Here is a 24,779-nt window from a genome sequence, read left to right as displayed (position 1 = left end):
GAAAAAGAGAATACACGTATAGCAGGAAAAGACACACCAAACTACTTTATATAATTGGTTGTTTTTGTGTTTGGTAAGATGTATGCACTGAAGAGGAAGGTTTCGATTTTTTTTTTTTTTTTTTTTTTTTTTTTGAGACAGGGCTTTGCTCTGTCGCCCAGGCTGGAGTGCAGTGGCGCGATCTCAGCTCACTGCAGCCTCGACCGCCCCGGCTCAAGCGATCCTCCCACCTCAGCTGTCCCAGTAGCTAGAACTACAGGGGCGCCACCACGCCTGGCGAATTTTTTGTAGAGATGGGTTCTCTCCAGGTGGCCCAGGCTGGTTCTGAACTCCCGGGCTCAAGGGATCTTCCTGCTTCAGCTTCCCAAAGTGCGGGGATTACCGGCGTGAGCCACCGCGTCCCGCCTGTTTTTAATTTTTAGCAGTTTTAAATCTTCTGGCAATGAGTAATGTTATAGTGTCCCAGATGTTTGGTCCTTTAAGAAAAGGATAGCAGGACGGGTTATCTCGGTGGGAGCGTGTTCCACCTCTGCCCTCCGCCAGCCGCCCTCGCCGGGGATGCACCCAGGTATTTTCCTCCGGATGCGTGAGTGGCTCGCCCGCGGACACGCCAGCCCCGCCCCGCGAGCCCGGTTTCCCCGCCCCCTCCCCGCCCACGCCCTGCGCTCCCTTCCTATTGGTCCCATGCCGCGCTTTCCCGTTCAATCGCAGCGCTTAGCGCCAGAATTTGAATCTTCGTTTTCGTTTGAATTGGGCGGGCGCGCCGGGCTGGAAGAAGGAAGTGGAGGGCTGACGCTGCGGGCGGGCGGGCGGGCGGGAGGACTCGACTCGGTGGGAGCCGCTAGAGCCGGGCGCCCGGGGACGTAGCCTGTAGGGCCACCGGGTCCCCGTCAGAGGCGGCGGCGGGAGCAGCGGGGACTGCAGGCCGGGGTGCAGCGAACGCGACCCCGCGGGCTGCGGCCCGGTGTGTGCGGAGCGTGGCGGGCGCAGCTTACCGGGCGGAGGTGAGCGCGGCGCCGGCTCCTCCTGCGGCGGACTTTGGGTGCGACTTGACGAGCGGTGGTTCGACAAGTGGCCTTGCGGGCCGGATCGTCCCAGGTGAGCTGCGGCCGGGACTCCTGGGAGCTGTCCGGGGTCGAGGGCTGAGCCGCGGGGACCCCCCGAGCTCTGCGGGGACGGGCAGGGGACAGACGCGCGGCCTGGGCCCGACTCCTCCTGGGCTCTGGCGAGGGCGTCTCGGTGGAAGCTCCCAGGAGGCGCAGGCGCTGGCGACAACACCCCAGCTGCCGGACTTTGGGGCGCCGGGGGCTGCGGTCGGATCGTCCTGGGGTCCCCGCTAGCTAGCTGCGGTGTGCGCTTCTGTGGCCGGGGATAGGTGAATTGGGCACGGGGCCCTTCTTAGCTCCTTTGCTATCAGAGTAACTCGCACCTCTTTTGCAGTGGAAGAGTTGTAAATTTGCTTCTGGCCTTCCCCTACGGATTATACCTGGCCTTCCCCTACGGATTATACTCAACTTACTGTTTAGAAAATGTGGCCCACGAGACGCCTGGTTACTATCAAAAGGAGCGGGGTCGACGGTCCCCACTTTCCCCTGAGCCTCAGCACCTGCTTGTTTGGAAGGTGAGCCCCGCGGGCGCGCGCGGACGTTTTAGCTGAGAAAGAGGAAAATACCTTAGTCACAGAATAAAGTCCAGAAACGCGCTCTAGGATTGGGTCCTGCCGTCACTTTTCCTTGGTGCTTCTCCCATTCGTTACTAAGTTGACATAGTTGTGTTTTTTTGTTTTGTAAGTATAAATTTGATGCTAGTTTGTATGTTTAAGTGGTTTTAAAAATCAAGCCAATTAAAAAAATCGATTTGCTAATGTTGCGGTAAAGAAAGATGTAGATGATCTTCATATGTCACTGGCTGCAGGCAGGCGTCTGAAGACACTGTGCGCCCCCGGGTGCCTCCACAGTGGGCATCCCTGGCCACTGGGGACACAGAGAATGAAGGAAGGAAGCCATACACTTGTCTCTTGGCTCCTTGTGGCAATAGGAAAATGGGACAGAAAGTCTTCCTGCCTGGAATTCGAGAACGTTTCCTCTTATATTGCTGTCCTGTTTGGTGGTGGTAATAACCCTGTCCCTGTATAACAGGTATAGTTGCTGACAGTGCCCCATCAGCCTCTGACATGTGTCCCACTAGAGGCCTGAGAAGGGGGGTCATTTCCCGTGTGGTCATTTCCCAGACCACACGGGATTCAGGCCTCACCCTGTCCTCCCAACCCCATCCCGGCCTCACCCTGTCCTCCCAACCCCATCCCCTACCTTGTTCCTCCCGCCTAAGGCATTCCAAGCCTTTGTTCACCTTGGTACTTCTTACACACTTGGAAGTTTACAATGGGAAAGTTCTCCCCTTCCTCAAGCTTGTGTGATTTCCATCATTCAGGCATCAGGTGAAATGTCACCTCTGAGGAAGCCTTGCATGAAAACTTGTATTTCCAACCCCACAGCTTCAGGGGTGAGTTGTGGGTTTGTCTCCCACTAGGCTGAGCTCCCCAAAGGCAAAGACTGTCTTGTTACTAATCACGTGTGTAGGGCCAGGGATGGTGTCTGGCATAGGGGGTGTGATCAATACCTAGCATTCTGGCAAGGGTCAGTAGAAACATGGGCTGGAGCCATGGATTTGCAATCTCTTGAGAACAGTGGTTCTCACAGGAGGGTCATCTAACCTTCCAGGATTCATTTGAATTTCCATGTCACAATATAGGACAGGGGCATGCGCTGTCATCGCGGAGGAGAGGTCAGGGTGGGCATCCTACCAGGCTCAGGGCAGCCCCCACAATACAGAAGCATCTGGCCCAAGATGTCAACAGTGCCAAAGCTCAGAAACACCCATCTATAGTCGTCCTCCTGCCAAACAAATTCTCAGTTGTAAGGGATAGTCTTTCCTTTGCTCTGATGTCCTGTTACCTTAAAATCAAATTATTTTATTGGGGTTAAGGAAGCTTTTCACTTTCCATAGATACCTTTCTCTTGAAAAGGAAAAATATAAACATTTCATCTCCAGTGGCAGTCCTTTTGCTTTTTTATACAGTACTCCTTGAATATATCTTCATGCAAGATTTTATAATTTAGAAATAATTCCTAAGTGTTTGGTCACATGACCTGGGTAGGAAGAGAGATTCTTAGACTCCAAAGGTTCAGATGGAGAACAGACAGGCCATTGCATAGTTTATTCAAATTTTTAAGATCACAGGCTAGAACAGGAACACTGAAGACTCCAAGAACCTACTAACAAACTCTTCTGATTATTAGTTTGTATAGGTTTAGGAATTGTCTCTTCTGCTACTTTGCCATGGTGTTAGCTTTCTGTGGAAAAACAAGTTGAATTTAGATTTTTTTTTTGTGTCGCTTGCAAATTAGTATTTTTATTGTTTAGAGACTTGAATCTGTCAGTAAATTCAGTGTAGTTTTAAAACAACAATGAAAAGCTTACCCATAATGAGCATTTACTATGTGCTAGGCAAATTAGTGACATGTACAACCATTTAATTGAACATCACATGATGTAGGTTCTAATGTAATTTCTTTATTGTATATGAAGAAACTGATGCACAGAAGTGCTAGCATCAAATAAGCACATTTGGGGATGATTAAACCTCTAAACATATTTAACATTACAAACAAACGTTTTTGAAAAAGCACAGAGTATTAAAAATAGTCATTATCCAAAATTGATGTAAGTATTCCTTTGTGTCTTTTAAGTATAGCTTTTCATATAAAAGGTAATTCGATTTGTGTTCTAGTGTTTTCCCTTGTTTTTACATACTCTCTGTTTTAAAGATCTAATAGTTACATGTTTAATACTTCCAAAAGTTCTTTGCAAAATGCAAGATCGTTTACATTGCCCATTTTGTTTGTTACTCCTTTATGTCATATTTACAGATCAAACATTCTAGTCAAATTGTGTTTTATTTTGGGAAATTGAGGTAATCTTTTAAAAAGTTGCAGCAACCAAAAAAACCTTCTTCTTTTGCATGAAGGGGTATTGAATGTGACATCCGTATCCAGCTTCCTGTTGTGTCAAAACAACATTGCAAAATTGAAATCCATGAGCAGGAGGTGAGTGGGTTTTTTGAAGATCTACTTTTAAAGCTTTTTAGTTCACTTTTAATCTGTTCATTAGTTACATATTTCCCCTTCTTTTCACTTGCAGGCAATATTACATAATTTCAGTTCCACAAATCCAACACAAGTAAATGGGTCTGTTATTGATGAGCCTGTACGGCTAAAACATGGAGATGTAATAACTATTATTGATCGTTCCTTCAGGTAGGTAAAAGCTGATTGGTCTAACAGTAAATGTCATCTTCTGATTAACCATAAACTAGTGTCAAAGTCAACTGTCATTCTTCTTTAATGTTCATGGATGTCAAAGTATTTCAGGTTTTCATTCTCAACACTAATCTTAATTTAAAAGGATATGGATCTAGGAAGATGACTAATTGGGACAAAATGTGATGGAATTCAAGGATTTGGGTGCAAATAATTATGCAGAGGGAGGTTGACCTTGTCCTAAAGGAGTTTGTTATTTTCTTCCAAGTGTTTTGAAACTGCATGAGATTTTTCTATTCTTTTTTATTTTAAAGCAAAATATACACAGAGAAAAAGGTACAAAACAAGATGGACAGGTCAATTTATCATGTGAACACCCTTTTGATCACCACCTATTATGGACTGATTTGTGCTCTCCCGAAATTCATATTTTGAATTCCTAACCCCTCGTACCTTAGGATGTAACTGTATTTGGAAAGAGGGCATTTAAAAAGGCAATGAAGGCTTTTTGAGCTATTAGTATGGGCCCTAATCTGATGATTGGTGTCATTATAAGTGGAGATTAGGGAACACGTGCACAGAGGAAAGCCCATGAGAAGAGGCAGCAAGAAGGCAGCCATCTTCAAGTCAAGGAGAGAGGCACAGAGAAATCCAATCCAGCTGACACCTTGCTCTTGGACTTCCAGCCTCCAGCACTGAGAAGGGCATGTCTGTTTTTCAAGGCATTCAGTCTGTGGGACTTTATTATGGTGGCCCTAGCAGACTAATACATCCTCAGCTCATATAGAACATTTCCAGAAGCTTTTTAAAAATGCTGTTGTCTAATCACTACTTCATTCCCTCAGCAAGTAAACCACCGTTTTGGCTTTTAGGATATCATAAACGTCTCGAGTTTCACTACCTAAGCATGGATCTCTGAACACGATAGTTTTGTCTGTTCTTATAAAAGTCCTTAACAGTGATACAAGAATGTATACATTTGTGCCTGGCTTGTGCTTTTCTGTGTGTGAGATTCATAGCATGTTGGACATCTCTGTAGTTTGTTCCTTCTCATGGCATAAGTATTTCACTGAAAAAAAAATGTTTAATATATACAATAATATACATAACTATACAGAATTCATTCATTCTTGATGGACATTTGACTAATGTCTAGTCTTTGAAATGTGTCAAGGTTTGCTTTATGAGCAGATATGGCTAATTATCTTACTAATCTGCCTTGTGTAATTGAAAACTGTATTCTACAGTGTCTCATATATATGTAATATATAATTATTATATATATCACTTATATAATATATAATTATAATATATTATATATAATCATATATAATTATAATATAATATATAATATTATATAGTATATACTATATGTTATATAGTAATATATAATATAATAATATATATTATATATACCATATAGTATATACTGTATACAGTATATACTATATGGTATATATAATACATATACAATATATATACAATATATTTATATTATATAATATATAATATATACATATATAATATGTAATATATATACACATATACAGATACACACACTCCCGTTAGATTCAAATCTATAATCTTAGTAAATTTTCCCCTACTATTATTCTAAGAGATATGTTCAAATCACCTACTGAGGATTGATTGATTGATTTGTTTTTATCTCTATCAGTTTTTGCTTTGTATATTTTGAGGCTGTACTATGGTGTACAAACTTAGAATGATGTCTTGGTGCATGGAACTCTGTCATTTAGAGATGTCCTCTGTTTTTAGTAGTGCTTTCTTTTCTGCTTAATGTTTCCTTTGGATGATGAGTATGGTTAAACTAATTTCCTTTTGATGAGTGCTTGTGTAGTATAACTTTTCCACCCCCTTAATTTTAACTTTTCATAATTGTTATGGTTTAAGTTGTCTCTTGGAACCTGTTGTCAGGTGACCTCTTGTGTTTAACTGGAATATCTTCTTGCTGGATTGATCCTTATATAAAATGTCCTTTTTCTCTATGAATAACTTTTGTCTGAGATGATTTTGTCTCATGTTAGTACAGTACTCCAGTTCCCCTCTGCTTGCTGTTTGCATGGTATATCTTTTCCCATGCTTTTATTTTAAAAGATTGTGTCTTTGAATCAAAATTGCGTCTCTTGTAGACAACGTATTAGTTGGGTCATTTAAAAATCCATTCTGCTAAATGAATCTCTGTTATTGTCTTCATTTGTATTAGCTGTTTTTTAATGCACCACTTAAATTCCCTAGTCATTTCTTTTACTGTGCTTCTGGGAAGTTTGCCTTCATTTTTAAAGAGTATTTTTATTGAATACAGACTTCTATGTAGGAAGTTTTTCTTTTTTTCTTTTTCTTTTTGTTTGTTTGTTTGTTTGTTTTTGAGACAGAGTCTTGCTCTGTCACCCAGGCTGGAGTGCAGTGGTGTGATCTTGGCTCACTGCAACCTCCGCCTCCCGGGTTCAAGTGATTCTCATGCCTCAGCCTACCAAGTAGCTGGGATTACAGGCACGCGCCACAACACCCGGCTAATTTTTGCAATTTTTAGTAGAGACGGCGTTTCACCATGATGGCCAGGCTGGTCTTGAACTCTTGGTCTCAAGTGATCCACCTGCTTCAGCCTCCCAAAATGCTGAGATTACAGGCATGAGCCACTGCGCCCGGCCTATAGGTAGGAAGCTTTTGATGTTTATTGGAGGGCTGAACTATTTTTCAAAACAAGATATTATCCAAATTGAGATAAATTCAGATGATTAAAGACATCCAACAAAGATTTGAAAGTGAATCTTAGAAAGAGAGACTTGATTCCAAACTCTCTACCATGAGAAATAATATCAGATGTGTGACTGCTTCAGATCTTACTTAGGTTGCCTATAAATTCAAATCAGGTCATTTCACTGAGGCCAAAAGTTTTCATTATGCAAAATAAAGGATTGCTTCTATGACTTGATCACTGAGGTTTGCCAGGACAATTATGTATCTTGCTAAAGGTGATCTTCTTAAGATGTACCTGTCTTGTTCAGATACAGACTGAATGTGTGGGAAACTGAAGTGATCATAGTGTTCTAAAATATAGGTTTGTAGTTACCCTGTAGTGTAAGTGTAGCTTTTTATTTACCCTGAAGTATGTAACTTCACAACGTGAGAAAGATTCAGTTACCTACAGGCTTCCTGGCTGGCCTTCCAAGCCATCCGATGATTTCCATGGACTTAAACTAGAAGAAACTTGACTTTGCTCTCATGTGCATTAGCTTATGTCATAGAAGGTGCTTGGTAATATTGTCAAATCATACCTGGGCTGTTCGTCAGTGATCAGAAGTTAATCTGGGTCCCCAGCCTCTGACAGTGGTATTTCAAAACAAACTCGATGCAACTAATCCTAGTTTTTAGTGTAAAAGCACTTTTCTAACTCTAAATTTATTTCTTTGTATAAGGTGATGTCTTGAACTAAACCCAAAGTTTGTTCGTTGATCCTTGGACATTAAGTGGATATGGAGACTTCCGCCCCAGGGTATAAATTTTTAATCAGGATCTTTGTCGTTCTATAAACTGCAGGTATGAAAATGAAAGTCTTCAGAATGGAAGGAAGTCAACTGAATTTCCAAGAAAAATACGTGAACAGGTGATAGAAAATATCCAAGTTTGGGCTGATTCGTTTCGATGATATGAAATCATTTATGTATGCTTTAATGATTTCTTACTTGAAATCAGTTACAAAGAGGGTGGTTACTGTTATAGTAGGAAAATGTAACTAAAGTATAAAAACGAGTTGAACTTAGACGTATTAAAATAATCTAAAATGATATTTCCTCTTTATTGTTCAAAATCAGAGCACTAAGTTGGTCTTACACTTTTAGCCAAAAAGTCTATTAGAGCATGTTGCGAGCTTTTTGCAAACCCATGATTAGGATAACCCCAACACGTAGAGCTAACATTTGGGAATTGCATTATCTGGTGGCTCATTTTGTCGCCCAGTCATTGTACTCATCCGTCTTTATGTGTCTGAAATAATCACATTATGAAAATCATGAGTGCCAAAGATGCTTCTCTATTTTGATAGATAGACGACCCATGAAACAGGAAAAGGGATCCTGTGCTTTGTCTTGTGAGAGAATCCTATAGTTTGAGTGTATCAGTGTGGAACAGGTATTCCAATTGTACAGCTTATGAAAACATAATTGTCGACACGTGCTTCGCAATTTAGATAGTTTGAGTATATCAGTGTGGAAGAGGTATTTTAGTTGTACAGCTTATTAAAACACAGTTGTCGGCATGTGCTTGGAAATTTAGTGGGATTTAGGCTTAGGATGAGCCCTGAGAATTCATATTTTTCCTACATTTTAGAGTGCTCCTAAAGCTAGTTTCAGATGAGCTCCTTGGAATATCTTGGCTTAGGAGAGTTATCTTAGGTGCACCTGAAATTAGCAGTAGGTACTCTTGAATTTCAACATTTCTGCCTTTTTTTTTTTTTTTTTTTCTGAGACGGAGTCTCACTCCGTCACCCAGGCTGGAGTGCAGTGGTGCGATCTTGGCTCACTGCAACCTCCGCCTCCTGGGTTCAAGCAATTCTCCTGCCTCAGCCTCCCGAGTAGCTGGGACTACAGGTGCACACCACCATGCCTGGCTAATTTTTGTATTTTTAGTAGAGACAGGGTTTCACCATATTGACCAGGCTGGTCTTGAACTCCTAACCTCGTGATCCACCCACCTGGGCCTCCCAAAGTGCTGGGATTACAGGCTTGAGCCACCATGCCCAGTCCATTTCTGCCATTTAAGTACTGCCTTCTTCCCTAGAGGAGCAGCCTTAATGTTGAATCTGATGGTCATCAGTTCCCGTGCTGGAAGCCAGTTTCTGAGGCATCCCACACTGTAGCCACCAGGCAACTTGCTAGTCTATGGGAGTAAATAAACCAAAAAGCCAGTTGAACTGTGGGTTAGATATGTGCCACTCAGCAGTCTAGGAACTGTTTGTTCTGTTACTGGTCTGTGATATAGTGAGTACTGAAATGGAGTATGTAGTAAATATGACAGCAATTCGACAGCAATTTTGTGGCTATTGAATGTAATCGTACAACAAAAGTGAGATTATATACTTTACATATTCATAATTTTATTAGTGGTTCATTTATATTGTTTAGTCATAAGATTCTTGTTCCACTTCAGATTGGAAATAAAAAACCATCCCTCACATAGATAGTTTTAGAAGCAAGGTGTTACGTATCAAGAAACCTAAAATTGATTAAGGAAGTTAGATTCTTTGCCTTTGTTAATATTTTTTAGATATTTTCTTAATAATCCAGATGATAAGCTTTTCTTCCTTTGGGGCATCAGACTTTTATAAAAGTTATATATATATGTTATTCTTTAGTTCTTCCACCCTTCCGGAAATAATTCCATATGAAGGAAAGTTAGGGCGCTGTCTCTGGGGAGCCAGGTGGGGGCGCTGCGCCTGCTCCCAGGCTGTGAGGTTGCAGAATCTGTGAATATACCATGTGTGCCTGTACCATGAATTTACCTAGGGTGAATCTAGGCTCTCAGATCCACCCTAAGTATCCACCAGCCAAGAGGGCGCACATGCCAAGTGGAGCCTCAGTTCATCGACAGGTCCTATGGCCCATTTATGAGAAAACTGATGACGCAGTCAGTAGTTCTGAGCTCGTGGGGGGTTACAGATCTTCAGTATAGGTGATGTTTAATATTGACTTTGGTTCTTCCGCAATAGGATGTTGGGAAATATCTTTAAAGGAAGTTATAAAAACACACCGAGGTTTGATTTTAGTAATTTTAAGCCTCGAATTTGTTTCCTATTAATCACTCACTATTTTTTAATGAGTCAGCTAATAAGTACTTTTATCCTGACCACTAGCTCCCAACTGACTTGAGCTCATTTCTCAAACAGTCTTTAAAAGTCATATACGAGTGGTTTGGTAAAGAAAACAATTTTTTATTGTTTTTATTTTTATTTTTTGAGACAGAGTCTCGCTTTATTGCCCAGGCTAGAGTGCAGTGGTGCAATCTCTGCTCACTGCAACCTCTGCCTCCCGGGTTCCAGCAATTCTCCTGCCTCGGCCACCTGAGTAGCTGGGACTACAGGCACCTGCCACCACATCCAGCTAATGTTTGTATTTGCAGTAGAGATGAGGTTACATCATGTTGGCCAGGCTGTTCTCAAACTCCTGACCTCAAGTGATCCGCCCACCTTGGCCTCCCAAAGTGCTGGGATTACAGGCATGAGCCATCATGCCCAGCCAGAAAACAATAAATAATATTTTCACTGTTGTGACTGTCATCATTTAGAAAGACCTGCAAATAACTGTTCTTATTTTCCCAACTTACAGGAGCCAGCACGTCGTGTCTCAAGATCTAGCTTCTCTTCTGACCCTGGTGAGTAGTGGTTGGGTTTTGTTCCAGAATCCTGAAAGATCAGGTCTTTGCGAAGCATATTGGCAAAGAAGGGGCAACAAGAATGCAAGTGCTAAATGTCTAGCCTGTCAGAAATGGAGGAGGTGTCATTTAACATGTCAACGACAGACAGATGCCTAACTTTCCCTTGGTGACTGATGGTATGCTATGCTTAGGAGAGACTCTAGATATGAGAAAATTGCCTGTTCAGCTGTCAACTCAGTTCTCAGTAGTTAGATAGCATGTGCTATTTCATACTGGTTATTGGAGCTGATATGATTTATATATTTGTATCATAATACTAGTATCATAAGACTTGCAAGTTTTAGGCATTAAATAATTTGTAGGCCAAGTAAAAGCTAGCTTATAAGACAACCTGAAACAATTAAAATATTGAATTCCACAAATGTTAATCATTGAGAAAATGCTGAACTTCTGTTTCTTATTTCATAATTCATTGCCAAGATGAGAAAGCTCAAGATTCCAAGGCCTATTCAAAAATCACTGAAGGAAAAGTTTCAGGAAATCCTCAGGTACATATCAAGAATGTCAAAGAAGACAGTACCGCAGATGACTCAAAAGACAGTGTTGCTCAGGGAACAACTAATGTTCATTCCTCAGAACATGCTGGACGTAATGGCAGAAATGCAGCTGATCCCATTTCTGGGGATTTTAAAGAAATTTCCAGCGTTAAATTAGTGAGCCGTTATGGAGAATTGAAGTCTGTTCCCACTACACAATGTCTTGACAATAGCAAAAAAAATGAATCTCCCTTTTGGAAGCTTTATGAGTCAGTGAAGAAAGAGTTGGATGTAAAATCACAAAAAGAAAATGTCCTACAGTATTGTAGAAAATCTGGATTACAAACTGATTACGCAACAGAGAAAGAAAGTGCTGATGGTTTACAGGGGGAGACCCAACTGTTGGTCTCGCGTAAGTCAAGACCAAAATCTGGTGGGAGCGGCCACGCTGTGGCAGAGCCTGCTTCACCTGAACAAGAGCTTGACCAGAACAAGGGGAAGGGAAGAGACGTGGAGTCTGTTCAGACTCCCAGCAAGGCTGTGGGCGCCAGCTTTCCTCTCTATGAGCCGGCTAAAATGAAGACCCCTGTACAATATTCACAGCAACAAAATTCTCCACAAAAACATAAGAACAAAGACCTGTATACTACTGGTAGAAGAGAATCTGTGAATCTGGGTAAAAGTGAAGGCTTCAAGGCTGGTGATAAAACTCTTACTCCCAGGAAGCTTTCAACTAGAAATCGAACACCAGCTAAAGTTGAAGATGCAGCTGACTCTGCCACTAAGCCAGAAAATCTCTCTTCCAAAACCAGAGGAAGTATTCCTACAGATGTGGAAGTTCTGCCTACGGAAACTGAAATTCACAATGAGCCATTTTTAACTCTGTGGCTCACTCAAGTTGAGAGGAAGATCCAAAAGGATTCCCTCAGCAAGCCTGAGAAATTGGGCACTACAGCTGGACAGATGTGCTCTGGGTTACCTGGTCTTAGTTCAGTTGATATCAACAACTTTGGTGATTCCATTAGTAAGTTTATTTAATTGTAAATTTATTTTTCTAAAAGATGAACACCTTCTATGTAGCTGTGAGACCTTCATTCTTTCAGTAGTGATTAGCTTTGTGGAAGAGAATGTAAGCACATAAGGCACAGGGATAAGACAGACACGCACGCTGTTTTCGCTAATAGATGAATACTGAAGGCCTAGGTAATTGTAACAAGGAATGACAGAAGAGATGGAAGTTGTCAGGCAATCATGAAGCAGGGGTTATTGAAGGAGATAGGGTGGCCCCAAAAATATTTGATTCTCCTCCATCTATCACAAAATAGAAAAGAGAATAATCATAATTGCTTTTCACATGGAGTTTAATTCTGAACTACAATCAACTGTATCATATGAGTTTGGTCATGTGGAATAAATCACTGGTAATCATTAAACATAGCGGTAGTTCTCAGGTGTTGATACTCTGTTTTCAGAGTGTCCTACAAACAATTTGCTGTAAACACTGGACTGTACCCATGAGTCCATATGCCACATGAACACTTGATCCTTGGTGCAATAGCAGTGCCCGTGGCTAGGTTGTCTTTTTAGAGCTATGTCACACATGAGGAAACGCACAACCCAAGGCCAGTCAGGAAGTGGCAGAGGTAGGACCTTTATAGCAGGTGTGGTAGCTCCTCGGGAGCTTCCTACACTCCTAGGGACTGGCTATTAGAAGAAAAGTTGTCTGGGCCACAGACGCAGTATTCGTACTCCAGGCTGTGTTTCTGCAGGTGGCCTATAGCGGTGGGGCATGAGGCTGTCGATAAAATAAGGTTTGTAACATCAGTCTCAGTATTCCACCAAGCTTCCTAGTGGGGAAGCATCACTTAGGCAAGGGATTTACATTAACTGGTGGCTCAGGAAAATGTGTGGCCGGGACTGGGCTCCTGTGAATTGACTCAGAACCACCTGGAGGAGTTTTTACAGCTCATGCATTCTGGTCACTGGGTGGCTCAGGCTGAGACCCAAGTGCATGTCTTTAGAGAGTTCTCTGGCTGTCGTCCCCCTACTCTAAGGTGAAATCTGCTGCTGCAGACTCCTCCTTTCTATGTCCACACATAATGTTTCAATGTTTTAAAGAAAGCCTCTGTACTGTCCAGTGGCAACTTGACGTCTTAGTGGCCACTCCCGCAATCCTTTAGGAACTCTTAGTAGCTTAGCTTCACCAGGATTGCAAGAATAGAGGCGTGCTGTAGGTACTGTGTTTCGATGACTTTTCACTTGGTTTGTCTTTAATGCTAACGTGAAATAAATCACTAGTCTTGGTATGTTTTTTCATTGCTCTTTCCACATTTGTATCCGTTACTTTAGATGAGAGTGAGGGAATACCTTTGAAAAGAAGGCGTGTGTCCTTTGGTGGGCACCTAAGACCTGAACTATTTGATGAAAACTTGCCTCCTAATACGCCTCTCAAAAGGGGAGAAGCCCCAACCAAAAGAAAGTCTCTGGTAATGCACACTCCACCTGTCCTGAAGAAAATCATCAAGGTGAGTTGAACAAGCAGCATCCCATTCACGCCCAGTGGCTCACACACCGGGTACCTATTCCTTTCCAAATACTGACACAAGTAGAATTATGATGAAGACCTTTATTTATTTATTAAAGAAACAAGTTTTTAAAAAGACGAATGAAAGCTCATTGATGTGGGCACCAGCAAAGGAGCCCCTGGGTCCCTGACCGTGGTGCTGATGCGACCGAGTCGGGGGAGTCCTTGATGTTGTCCTTTTCGTGCAGAAGTTCCCAGACACCCACGCTTACAGCACTGCGTAATCACCTGCAGGCACCGTCAGAATAGCCAATTACAAAGATTCTGGATACATTACCACGTCGACCCATAAGGATTGTTTTATTTTCTTTTAGAGTTACAAGGCTATAGTTAAGGCATTTACCTGGTGTGAAGGAAAATCAATGGCACATCTTCCTTTTACACCTTCAGCTCTTTAGAATATTTGCTTGCCTGTTCCTTTGCTGTGTTGTCCTTCCTGGGTTTCACACCTCTGGGAAGTCATGGCCCTATAGCTCATAACCTTTGTAATAGGGCCTGGGCGGTCTTTCTTTCCTTCTCTTCCCAGCAGGAGTGGAAAGTGATGTCTGGCTCCCTTTCCATTTTACACTGGCTCCCAGGGGCAAGCAGTCCTCCCTCCATGTGGACTGCCGGGGGCTGGGTGCTCACAGCTGGTATTTACTGGGACTGAGATCAGACCCTGCTTGTCTTTCACTGATCAGGATGTTCCTTCCACCTTTTTACCTGAAATGACCTCACTTCAGACTTGGCTTGCTTCTCTTTCCTTTTCCTTAAATGACTGAGACAGTCTCACCTCTACCATAGTCTTCAAAGACAGTGGCTTAAGCATTTGATGCTTCAAGATTTAAACAGCTGAAATTCTTAACTGAATAGGTTTTTATCAGTCATTCCAGAGATGTTAGATCCTTGTTAAGGCTTCTTGTAAACAATTTTGTCTTGTCAGGAACAGCCTCAACCATCAGGAAAACAAGAGTCAGGTTCAGAAATCCATGTGGAAGTGAAGGCACAAAGCTTGGTTATAAGCCCTCCAGCTCCTAGTCCTAGGAAAACTCCAGTTGCCAGTGATCAACGCCGTAGGTCCTGCAAAACAGCCCCTGCTTCCAGCAGCAAATCTCAGACAGAGGTTCCTAAGAGAGGAGGGAGAAAGAGTGGCAACCTGCCTTCAAAGAGAGTGTCTATCAGCCGAAGTCAACATGATATTTTACAGATGATATGTTCCAAAAGAAGAAGTGGTGCTTCGGAAGCAAATCTGATTGGTTAGTCTGACATTAGAATACATATATTAAGGTGAATTTTTTCATGAATGCTAATTTTTGAAAAGTTTCGTCTTTTCCCTTTGACAGTTGCAAAATCATGGGCAGATGTAGTAAAACTTGGTGCAAAACAAACACAAACTAAAGTCATAAAACATGGTCCTCAAAGGTCAATGAACAAAAGGCAAAGAAGACCTGCTACTCCAAAGGTAGGGGCCTCACTGAATGGCTGCTTTACACATACCGGTGTCATCGAAGCTTGCATTCAGTGTGGATTTATGCTTTAATGTCCTGTTTACCTCCTTCCTGTTTTCTACAGAAGCCTGTGGGCGAAGTTCACAGTCAATTTAGTACAGGCCACGCAAACTCTCCTTGTACCATAATAATAGGGAAAGCTCATACTGAAAAAGTACATGTGCCTGCTCGACCCTACAGAGTGCTCAACAACTTCATTTCCAACCAAAAAATGGACTTTAAGGAAGATCTTTCAGGTAAAAACGTAGTCTTAGATCTTATAAATCTTTTGACTCTACTGTTTTTTACTGTGTTAATGTTTGTTTTGCTAACTTTGTTTATCTGCTGTGAAAGAGATTATAAAATAAACGACTCAATCACCCTTCTGGGGTCTTAGTGTTCAGGGAAGATAAAGCTGTTTTGGCTTGCAAAGACAAGTCTCTGCTAATTTTTGGGATCACATGTCCTGCATGAAATAGGTGTGGAAATGTCAAATGCATGTCTTTACCCTGGAGAGCAGCGTATACATAGAAAGCTGGAAGGTGCTTTACAGTGAAGAGAGTTAACTTGTTAATCTGCAGGTACAATAATAGTTTATCCCAGGTGTGGGCCAGTTGTTGTTGAGCAACATTTTGCTTCTTCAGGATTGACTTTCTAGGTAGCTTAACTTTCTTGAAAGAAAGCCCTATGAGAAGATTCCCATAAACGATTGTTGAAGAAATATTTCCATTCAATTCCCACTCTCAGTAAATTGTGGCCTGACTTGTGTAATTTAAAGTGGGGATGGCCGGCGCAGTGGCTCACGCCTGTAATCCCAACACTTTGGGAGGCTGAGGCCTCCTATCATTCCAAACAGAATGATAATGATATTAGATTTTCAAAAATATATATTATTACTTGACAGTACTAAAAATGGGCAGCTCTTTGTCATTTTCTAAAATGTGGGTACGTGTTATTTGTACTTAAAATCTAGAACTGAGCACCCAAGACTTTGAGAAGCATGAAGGCATTTGGCCTCTAGATCCTAGCAGGGAGGCCTATGGGTCTCAGGAGCCCGTCACCAGCCTCCGTGCTCCAGAGCTCACGTGTGGGGTCTTGTTAGGAGGACCCAGAGGTCAGCTAACTTCATTTGTTTCCTTTCCAAGAAAAGCAAAGCGAAGAGCATAACATATCTTCTCTGTGCTCTCTTTTTTACAAAATGAGTACATTATTAATGGAATCACTCTTTTTATGAGGCCTATGTACCAGGATTTCAAGGGAGGAATCTACTGTTATTTCCCACCATTTGCACGTTACATGTGAGGGCTGGGATGGTTGTCTGCATGTTAGCAATATGTCAATCACTTTTCAAATATTTTCATTTAACAGGAATAGCTGAAATGTTCAAGACCCCAGTGAAGGAGCAACCGCAGTTGACAAGCACATGTCACATCGCTATTTCAAATTCAGAGAATTTGCTTGGAAAACAGTTTCAAGGAACTGATTCAGGAGAAGAACCTCTGCTCCCCACCTCAGAGAGTTTTGGTTGGTTTCCTTGTTTCCTAACACTGTGATGTTTTGGGATAGGAACATACAGTATTATTTTTTTACAAGCAGTATGATATTACTTCTCTAAAACAAATGTTCCTGGCACAAAATACCATTTCCGTCTTCTCTGTTCTAATTGAAAGGGAGATTTCAATCAGCAGTTGAACTAACATTGGCATTCATTGACTTATATAGAAAGAAAGACTCCGTTAATGTGTGTAAATGACCTGTGTACACTTTTGGCTTCTTTATTGTAAGTAACCAGGGTGACATAGCAAAAAAATACAATGGTGTCTCACCATATTTACATATAAATTACTCATATTCAAAATTACTGCCAATTACAAAACAGAAAGATAACAGTTTGTATACTGTGCAATTATTCCTGCTAACCTTTTAGGTGGGAGCAGGCCCGGGGTAAGTGTGAGATGGGAGATGAGAATCTGTCTAATCTCTCATTTGGCACTGGTCACTGTATTCCTGTCACAGAGGGAACAGCTTGCTACCCTGAAGATGTTTGCGGTAGGTAAATATTTCCTGTGTAATATGGACCCTAACCACATAAGGATAATCCATGTTATTTTATTGGCGATTTAAGGCAAGAAACAGCTGTTTGTTTCTAATGTTTGAAGGAAAAAATGCCTATATTTACGTCAATGACACAGGGCATGGCAACCTTTGGAGGAACCTTCTGAAGCAGTATTTTTACCTTCTATGATCATTTCAGCATCTAACTTTGCTTAATGATGACCCCACTATAGCACCAAATAACATTATTCTTAATTGTGCATGGCTCTTATAAGACAGATTTATAGACACATAAGTAGCCTCATGTCGTTCAGTGAATACGAAGCTAAATATTTAGTTTTTTACCATATTTTATGAGGCTGTAATACTCGATTGACATGAGACACTAATAGAATGTTTTTATTGTGTATGTTTTTATTTCAGGAGGAAATGTGTTCTTCAGTGCACAGAATGCAGCAAAACAGCCATCTGATAAATGCTCTGCAAGCCCTCCCTTAAGACGGCAGTGTATTAGAGAAAATGGAAACGTAGCAAAAACGCCCAGGAACACCTACAAAATGACTTCTCTGGAGACAAAAACTTCAGATACTGAGACAGAGCCTTCAAAAACAGTATCCACTGCAAACAGGTCAGGAAGGTCTACAGAGTTCAGGAATATACAGAAGCTACCTGTGGAAAGTAAGAGTGAAGAAACAAATACAGAAATTGTTGAGTGCATCCTAAAAAGAGGTCAGAAGGCAACACTACTACAACAAAGGAGAGAAGGAGAGATGAAGGAAATAGAAAGACCTTTTGAGACATATAAGGAAAATATTGAATTAAAAGAAAACGATGAAAAGATGAAAGCAATGAAGAGATCAAGAACTTGGGGGCAGAAATGTGCACCAATGTCTGACCTGACAGACCTCAAGAGCTTGCCTGATACAGAACTCATGAAAGACACGGCACGTGGCCAGAATCTCCTCCAAACCCAAGATCATGCCAAGGCACCAAAGAGTGAGAAAGGCAAAATCACTAAAATGCCCTGCCAGTCATTACAACCAGAACCAATAAACACCCCAACACACACAAAACAACAGTTGAAGGCATCCCTGGGGAAAGTAGGTGTGAAAGAAGAGCTCCTAGCAGTCGGCAAGTTCACACGGACGTCAGGGGAGACCACGCACACGCACAGAGAGCCAGCAGGAGATGGCAAGAGCATCAGAACGTTTAAGGAGTCTCCAAAGCAGATCCTGGACCCAGCAGCCCGTGTAACTGGAATGAAGAAGTGGCCAAGAACGCCTAAGGAAGAGGCCCAGTCACTAGAAGACCTGGCTGGCTTCAAAGAGCTCTTCCAGACACCAGGTCCCTCTGAGGAATCAATGACTGATGAGAAAACTACCAAAATAGCCTGCAAATCTCCACCACCAGAATCAGTGGACACTCCAACAAGCACAAAGCAATGGCCTAAGAGAAGTCTCAGGAAAGCAGATGTAGAGGAAGAATTCTTAGCACTCAGGAAACTAACACCATCAGCAGGGAAAGCCATGCTTACGCCCAAACCAGCAGGAGGTGATGAGAAAGACATTAAAGCATTTATGGGAACTCCAGTGCAGAAACTGGACCTGGCAGGAACTTTACCTGGCAGCAAAAGACAGCTACAGACTCCTAAGGAAAAGGCCCAGGCTCTAGAAGACCTGGCTGGCTTTAAAGAGCTCTTCCAGACTCCTGGTCACACCGAGGAATTAGTGGCTGCTGGTAAAACCACTAAAATACCCTGCGACTCTCCACAGTCAGACCCAGTGGACACCCCAACAAGCACAAAGCAACGACCCAAGAGAAGTATCAGGAAAGCAGATGTAGAGGGAGAACTCTTAGCGTGCAGGAATCTAATGCCATCAGCAGGCAAAGCCATGCACACGCCTAAACCATCAGTAGGTGAAGAGAAAGACATCATCATATTTGTGGGAACTCCAGTGCAGAAACTGGACCTGACAGAGAACTTAACCGGCAGCAAGAGACGGCCACAAACTCCTAAGGAAGAGGCCCAGGCTCTGGAAGACCTGACTGGCTTTAAAGAGCTCTTCCAGACCCCTGGTCATACTGAAGAAGCAGTGGCTGCTGGCAAAACTACTAAAATGCCCTGCGAATCTTCTCCACCAGAATCAGCAGACACCCCAACAAGCACAAGAAGGCAGCCCAAGACACCTTTGGAGAAAAGGGACGTACAGAAGGAGCTCTCAGCCCTGAAGAAGCTCACACAGACATCAGGGGAAACCACACACACAGATAAAGTACCAGGAGGTGAGGATAAAAGCATCAACGCGTTTAGGGAAACTGCAAAACAGAAACTGGACCCAGCAGCAAGTGTAACTGGTAGCAAGAGGCACCCAAAAACTAAGGAAAAGGCCCAACCCCTAGAAGACCTGGCTGGCTTGAAAGAGCTCTTCCAGACACCAGTATGCACTGACAAGCCCACGACTCACGAGAAAACTACCAAAATAGCCTGCAGATCACAACCAGACCCAGTGGACACACCAACAAGCTCCAAGCCACAGTCCAAGAGAAGTCTCAGGAAAGTGGACGTAGAAGAAGAATTCTTCGCACTCAGGAAACGAACACCATCAGCAGGCAAAGCCATGCACACACCCAAACCAGCAGTAAGTGGTGAGAAAAACATCTACGCATTTATGGGAACTCCAGTGCAGAAACTGGACCTGACAGAGAACTTAACTGGCAGCAAGAGACGGCTACAAACTCCTAAGGAAAAGGCCCAGGCTCTAGAAGACCTGGCTGGCTTTAAAGAGCTCTTCCAGACACGAGGTCACACTGAGGAATCAATGACTAACGATAAAACTGCCAAAGTAGCCTGCAAATCTTCACAACCAGACCCAGACAAAAACCCAGCAAGCTCCAAGCGACGGCTCAAGACATCCCTGGGGAAAGTGGGCGTGAAAGAAGAGCTCCTAGCAGTTGGCAAGCTCACACAGACATCAGGAGAGACTACACACACACACACAGAGCCAACAGGAGATGGTAAGAGCATGAAAGCATTTATGGAGTCTCCAAAGCAGATCTTAGACTCAGCAGCAAGTCTAACTGGCAGCAAGAGGCAGCTGAGAACTCCTAAGGGAAAGTCTGAAGTCCCTGAAGACCTGGCCGGCTTCATCGAGCTCTTCCAGACACCAAGTCACACTAAGGAATCAATGACTAACGAAAAAACTACCAAAGTATCCTACAGAGCTTCACAGCCAGACCTAGTGGACACCCCAACAAGCTCCAAGCCACAGCCCAAGAGAAGTCTCAGGAAAGCAGACACTGAAGAAGAATTTTTAGCATTTAGGAAACAAACGCCATCAGCAGGCAAAGCCATGCACACACCCAAACCAGCAGTAGGTGAAGAGAAAGACATCAACACGTTTTTGGGAACTCCAGTGCAGAAACTGGACCAGCCAGGAAATTTACCTGGCAGCAATAGACGGCTACAAACTCGTAAGGAAAAGGCCCAGGCTCTAGAAGAACTGACTGGCTTCAGAGAGCTTTTCCAGACACCATGCACTGATAACCCCACGACTGATGAGAAAACTACCAAAAAAATACTCTGCAAATCTCCGCAATCAGACCCAGCGGACACCCCAACAAACACAAAGCAACGGCCCAAGAGAAGCCTCAAGAAAGCAGACGTAGAGGAAGAATTTTTAGCATTCAGGAAACTAACACCATCAGCAGGCAAAGCCATGCACACGCCTAAAGCAGCAGTAGGTGAAGAGAAAGACATCAACACATTTGTGGGGACTCCAGTGGAGAAACTGGACCTGCTAGGAAATTTACCTGGCAGCAAGAGACGGCCACAAACTCCTAAAGAAAAGGCCAAGGCTCTAGAAGATCTGGCTGGCTTCAAAGAGCTCTTCCAGACACCAGGTCACACTGAGGAATCAATGACCGATGACAAAATCACAGAAGTATCCTGCAAATCTCCACAACCAGACCCAGTCAAAACCCCAACAAGCTCCAAGCAACGACTCAAGATATCCTTGGGGAAAGTAGGTGTGAAAGAAGAGGTCCTACCAGTCGGCAAGCTCACACAGACGTCAGGGAAGACCACACAGACACACAGAGAGACAGCAGGAGATGGAAAGAGCATCAAAGCGTTTAAGGAATCTGCAAAGCAGATGCTGGACCCAGCAAACTATGGAACTGGGATGGAGAGGTGGCCAAGAACACCTAAGGAAGAGGCCCAATCACTAGAAGACCTGGCCGGCTTCAAAGAGCTCTTCCAGACACCAGACCACACTGAGGAATCAACAACTGATGACAAAACTACCAAAATAGCCTGCAAATCTCCACCACCAGAATCAATGGACACTCCAACAAGCACAAGGAGGCGGCCCAAAACACCTTTGGGGAAAAGGGATATAGTGGAAGAGCTCTCAGCCCTGAAGCAGCTCACACAGACCACACACACAGACAAAGTACCAGGAGATGAGGATAAAGGCATCAACGTGTTCAGGGAAACTGCAAAACAGAAACTGGACCCAGCAGCAAGTGTAACTGGTAGCAAGAGGCAGCCAAGAACTCCTAAGGGAAAAGCCCAACCCCTAGAAGACTTGGCTGGCTTGAAAGAGCTCTTCCAGACACCAATATGCACTGACAAGCCCACGACTCATGAGAAAACTACCAAAATAGCCTGCAGATCTCCACAACCAGACCCAGTGGGTACCCCAACAATCTTCAAGCCACAGTCCAAGAGAAGTCTCAGGAAAGCAGACGTAGAGGAAGAATCCTTAGCACTCAGGAAACGAACACCATCAGTAGGGAAAGCTATGGACACACCCAAACCAGCAGGAGGTGATGAGAAAGACATGAAAGCATTTATGGGAACTCCAGTGCAGAAATTGGACCTGCCAGGAAATTTACCTGGCAGCAAAAGATGGCCACAAACTCCTAAGGAAAAGGCCCAGGCTCTAGAAGACCTGGCTGGCTTCAAAGAGCTCTTCCAGACACCAGGCACTGACAAGCCCACGACTGATGAGAAAACTACCAAAATAGCCTGCAAATCTCCACAACCAGACCCAGTGGACACCCCAGCAAGCACAAAGCAACGGCCCAAGAGAAACCTCAGGAAAGCAGACGTAGAGGAAGAATTTTTAGCACTCAGGAAACGAACACCATCAGCAGGCAAAGCCATGGACACACCAAAACCAGCAGTAAGTGATGAGAAAAATATCAACACATTTGTGGAAACTCCAGTGCAGAAACTGGACCTGCTAGGAAATTTACCTGGCAGCAAGAGACAGCCACAGACTCCTAAGGAAAAGGCTGAGGCTCTAGAGGACCTGGTTGGCTTCAAAGAACTCTTCCAGACACCAGGTCACACTGAGGAATCAATGACTGATGACAAAATCACAGAAGTATCCTGTAAATCTCCACAGCCAGAGTCATTCAAAACCTCAAGAAGCTCCAAGCAAAGGCTCAAGATACCCCTGGTGAAAGTGGACATGAAAGAAGAGCCCCTAGCAGTCAGCAAGCTCACACGGACATCAGGGGAGACTACGCAAACACACACAGAGCCAACAGGAGATAGTAAGAGCATCAAAGCGTTTAAGGAGTCTCCAAAGCAGATCCTGGACCCAGCAGCAAGTGTAACTGGTAGCAGGAGGCAGCTGAGAACTCGTAAGGAAAAGGCCCGTGCTCTAGAAGACCTGGTTGACTTCAAAGAGCTCTTCTCAGCACCAGGTCACACTGAAGAGTCAATGACTATTGACAAAAACACAAAAATTCCCTGCAAATCTCCCCCACCAGAACTAACAGACACTGCCACGAGCACAAAGAGATGCCCCAAGACACGTCCCAGGAAAGAAGTAAAAGAGGAGCTCTCAGCAGTTGAGAGGCTCACGCAAACATCAGGGCAAAGCACACACACACACAAAGAACCAGCAAGCGGTGATGAGGGCATCAAAGTATTGAAGCAACGTGCAAAGAAGAAACCAAACCCAGTAGAAGAGGAACCCAGCAGGAGAAGGCCAAGAGCACCTAAGGAAAAGGCCCAACCCCTGGAAGACCTGGCCGGCTTCACAGAGCTCTCTGAAACATCAGGTCACACTCAGGAATCACTGACTGCTGGCAAAGCCACTAAAATACCCTGCGAATCTCCCCCACTAGAAGTGGTAGACACCACAGCAAGCACAAAGAGGCATCTCAGGACACGTGTGCAGAAGGTACAAGTAAAAGAAGAGCCTTCAGCAGTCAAGTTCACACAAACATCAGGGGAAACCACGGATGCAGACAAAGAACCAGCAGGTGAAGATAAAGGCATCAAAGCATTGAAGGAATCTGCAAAACAGACACCGGCTCCAGCAGCAAGTGTAACTGGCAGCAGGAGACGGCCAAGAGCACCCAGGGAAAGTGCCCAAGCCATAGAAGACCTAGCTGGCTTCAAAGACCCAGCAGCAGGTCACACTGAAGAATCAATGACTGATGACAAAACCACTAAAATACCCTGCAAATCATCACCAGAACTAGAAGACACCGCAACAAGCTCAAAGAGACGGCCCAGGACACGTGCCCAGAAAGTAGAAGTGAAGGAGGAGCTGTTAGCAGTTGGCAAGCTCACACAAACCTCAGGGGAGACCACGCACACCGACAAAGAGCCGGTAGGTGAGGGCAAAGGCACGAAAGCATTTAAGCAACCTGCAAAGCGGAAGCTGGACGCAGAAGATGTAATTGGCAGCAGGAGACAGCCAAGAGCACCTAAGGAAAAGGCCCAACCCCTGGAAGATCTGGCCAGCTTCCAAGAGCTCTCTCAAACACCAGGCCACACTGAGGAACTGGCAAATGGTGCTGCTGATAGCTTTACAAGCGCTCCAAAGCAAACACCTGACAGTGGAAAACCTCTAAAAATATCCAGAAGAGTTCTTCGGGCCCCTAAAGTAGAACCCGTGGGAGACGTGGTAAGCACCAGAGACCCTGTAAAATCACAAAGCAAAAGCAACACTTCCCTGCCCCCACTGCCCTTCAAGAGGGGAGGTGGCAAAGATGGAAGCGTCACGGGAACCAAGAGGCTGCGCTGCATGCCAGCACCAGAGGAAATTGTGGAGGAGCTGCCAGCCAGCAAGAAGCAGAGGGTTGCTCCCAGGGCAAGAGGCAAATCATCCGAACCCGTGGTCATCATGAAGAGAAGTTTGAGGACTTCTGCAAAAAGAATTGAACCTGCGGAAGAGCTGAACAGCAACGACATGAAAACCAACAAAGAGGAACACAAATTACAAGACTCGGTCCCTGAAAATAAGGTGAGAGGAAGTATTACAGCATCACTCAATATCGTCTTGGATAGTTGTGAATTTCTGTGTTATACTTTGCATGTAACCTGACGTTATAAGTGGTTATCCTTTCCCCAGAGGGTTTCCTTTAACACTGAATAACTGCAGGCCATGGTAAAGAATCTTCTTGG

General features: G+C 43.7%; 1 protein-coding gene across 4 annotated transcripts in view, besides 2 other annotated features; it reads left to right on the top strand.

Annotated features, from left to right (window-relative positions):
- Positions 285–514: an enhancer, noted in NCBI's record as "active region_4201". NCBI's record gives its function as "activates an Ori minimal core promoter by ATAC-STARR-seq in GM12878 lymphoblastoid cells {active_cell/tissue: GM12878}" and the evidence as "EXISTENCE:reporter gene assay evidence [ECO:0000049][PMID:35858748]".
- Positions 625–994: a silencer, noted in NCBI's record as "silent region_2932". NCBI's record gives its function as "represses an Ori minimal core promoter by ATAC-STARR-seq in GM12878 lymphoblastoid cells {active_cell/tissue: GM12878}" and the evidence as "EXISTENCE:reporter gene assay evidence [ECO:0000049][PMID:35858748]".
- MKI67 (marker of proliferation Ki-67) overlaps positions 774–24,779 on the top strand; it is a 29,765-nt gene continuing 5,759 nt past the window's right edge. The window contains exons 1-13 of one of the 4 annotated variants that reach the window (NM_002417.5): positions 774–1,098; positions 1,441–1,621; positions 4,028–4,106; positions 4,201–4,316; positions 7,878–7,944; positions 10,661–10,706; positions 11,190–12,269; positions 13,595–13,770; positions 14,752–15,064; positions 15,152–15,270; positions 15,381–15,552; positions 16,664–16,819; positions 17,774–24,618. In NM_002417.5, the coding sequence (NP_002408.3) occupies positions 1,530–1,621; positions 4,028–4,106; positions 4,201–4,316; positions 7,878–7,944; positions 10,661–10,706; positions 11,190–12,269; positions 13,595–13,770; positions 14,752–15,064; positions 15,152–15,270; positions 15,381–15,552; positions 16,664–16,819; positions 17,774–24,618 (9,261 nt within the window). In that variant the 5' untranslated portion in view covers positions 774–1,098; positions 1,441–1,529. Of the gene's footprint in view, positions 1,099–1,440; positions 1,622–4,027; positions 4,107–4,200; positions 4,317–7,877; positions 7,945–10,660; positions 10,707–11,189; positions 12,270–13,594; positions 13,771–14,751; positions 15,065–15,151; positions 15,271–15,380; positions 15,553–16,663; positions 17,345–17,773; positions 24,619–24,779 lie in introns of those variants that run through there. The other 3 variants (NM_001145966.2, XM_011539818.3, XM_006717864.4) reach the window with 3 other exon arrangements.

Source organism: Homo sapiens, chromosome 10, assembly GCF_000001405.40.
Source record: "Homo sapiens chromosome 10, GRCh38.p14 Primary Assembly".
Classification (NCBI taxonomy): Eukaryota; Metazoa; Chordata; class Mammalia; order Primates; family Hominidae; genus Homo; species Homo sapiens.
The sequence above is the reverse complement of the archived record's forward strand: the minus strand, read 5'-3'. Positions and strand labels throughout refer to the sequence as shown.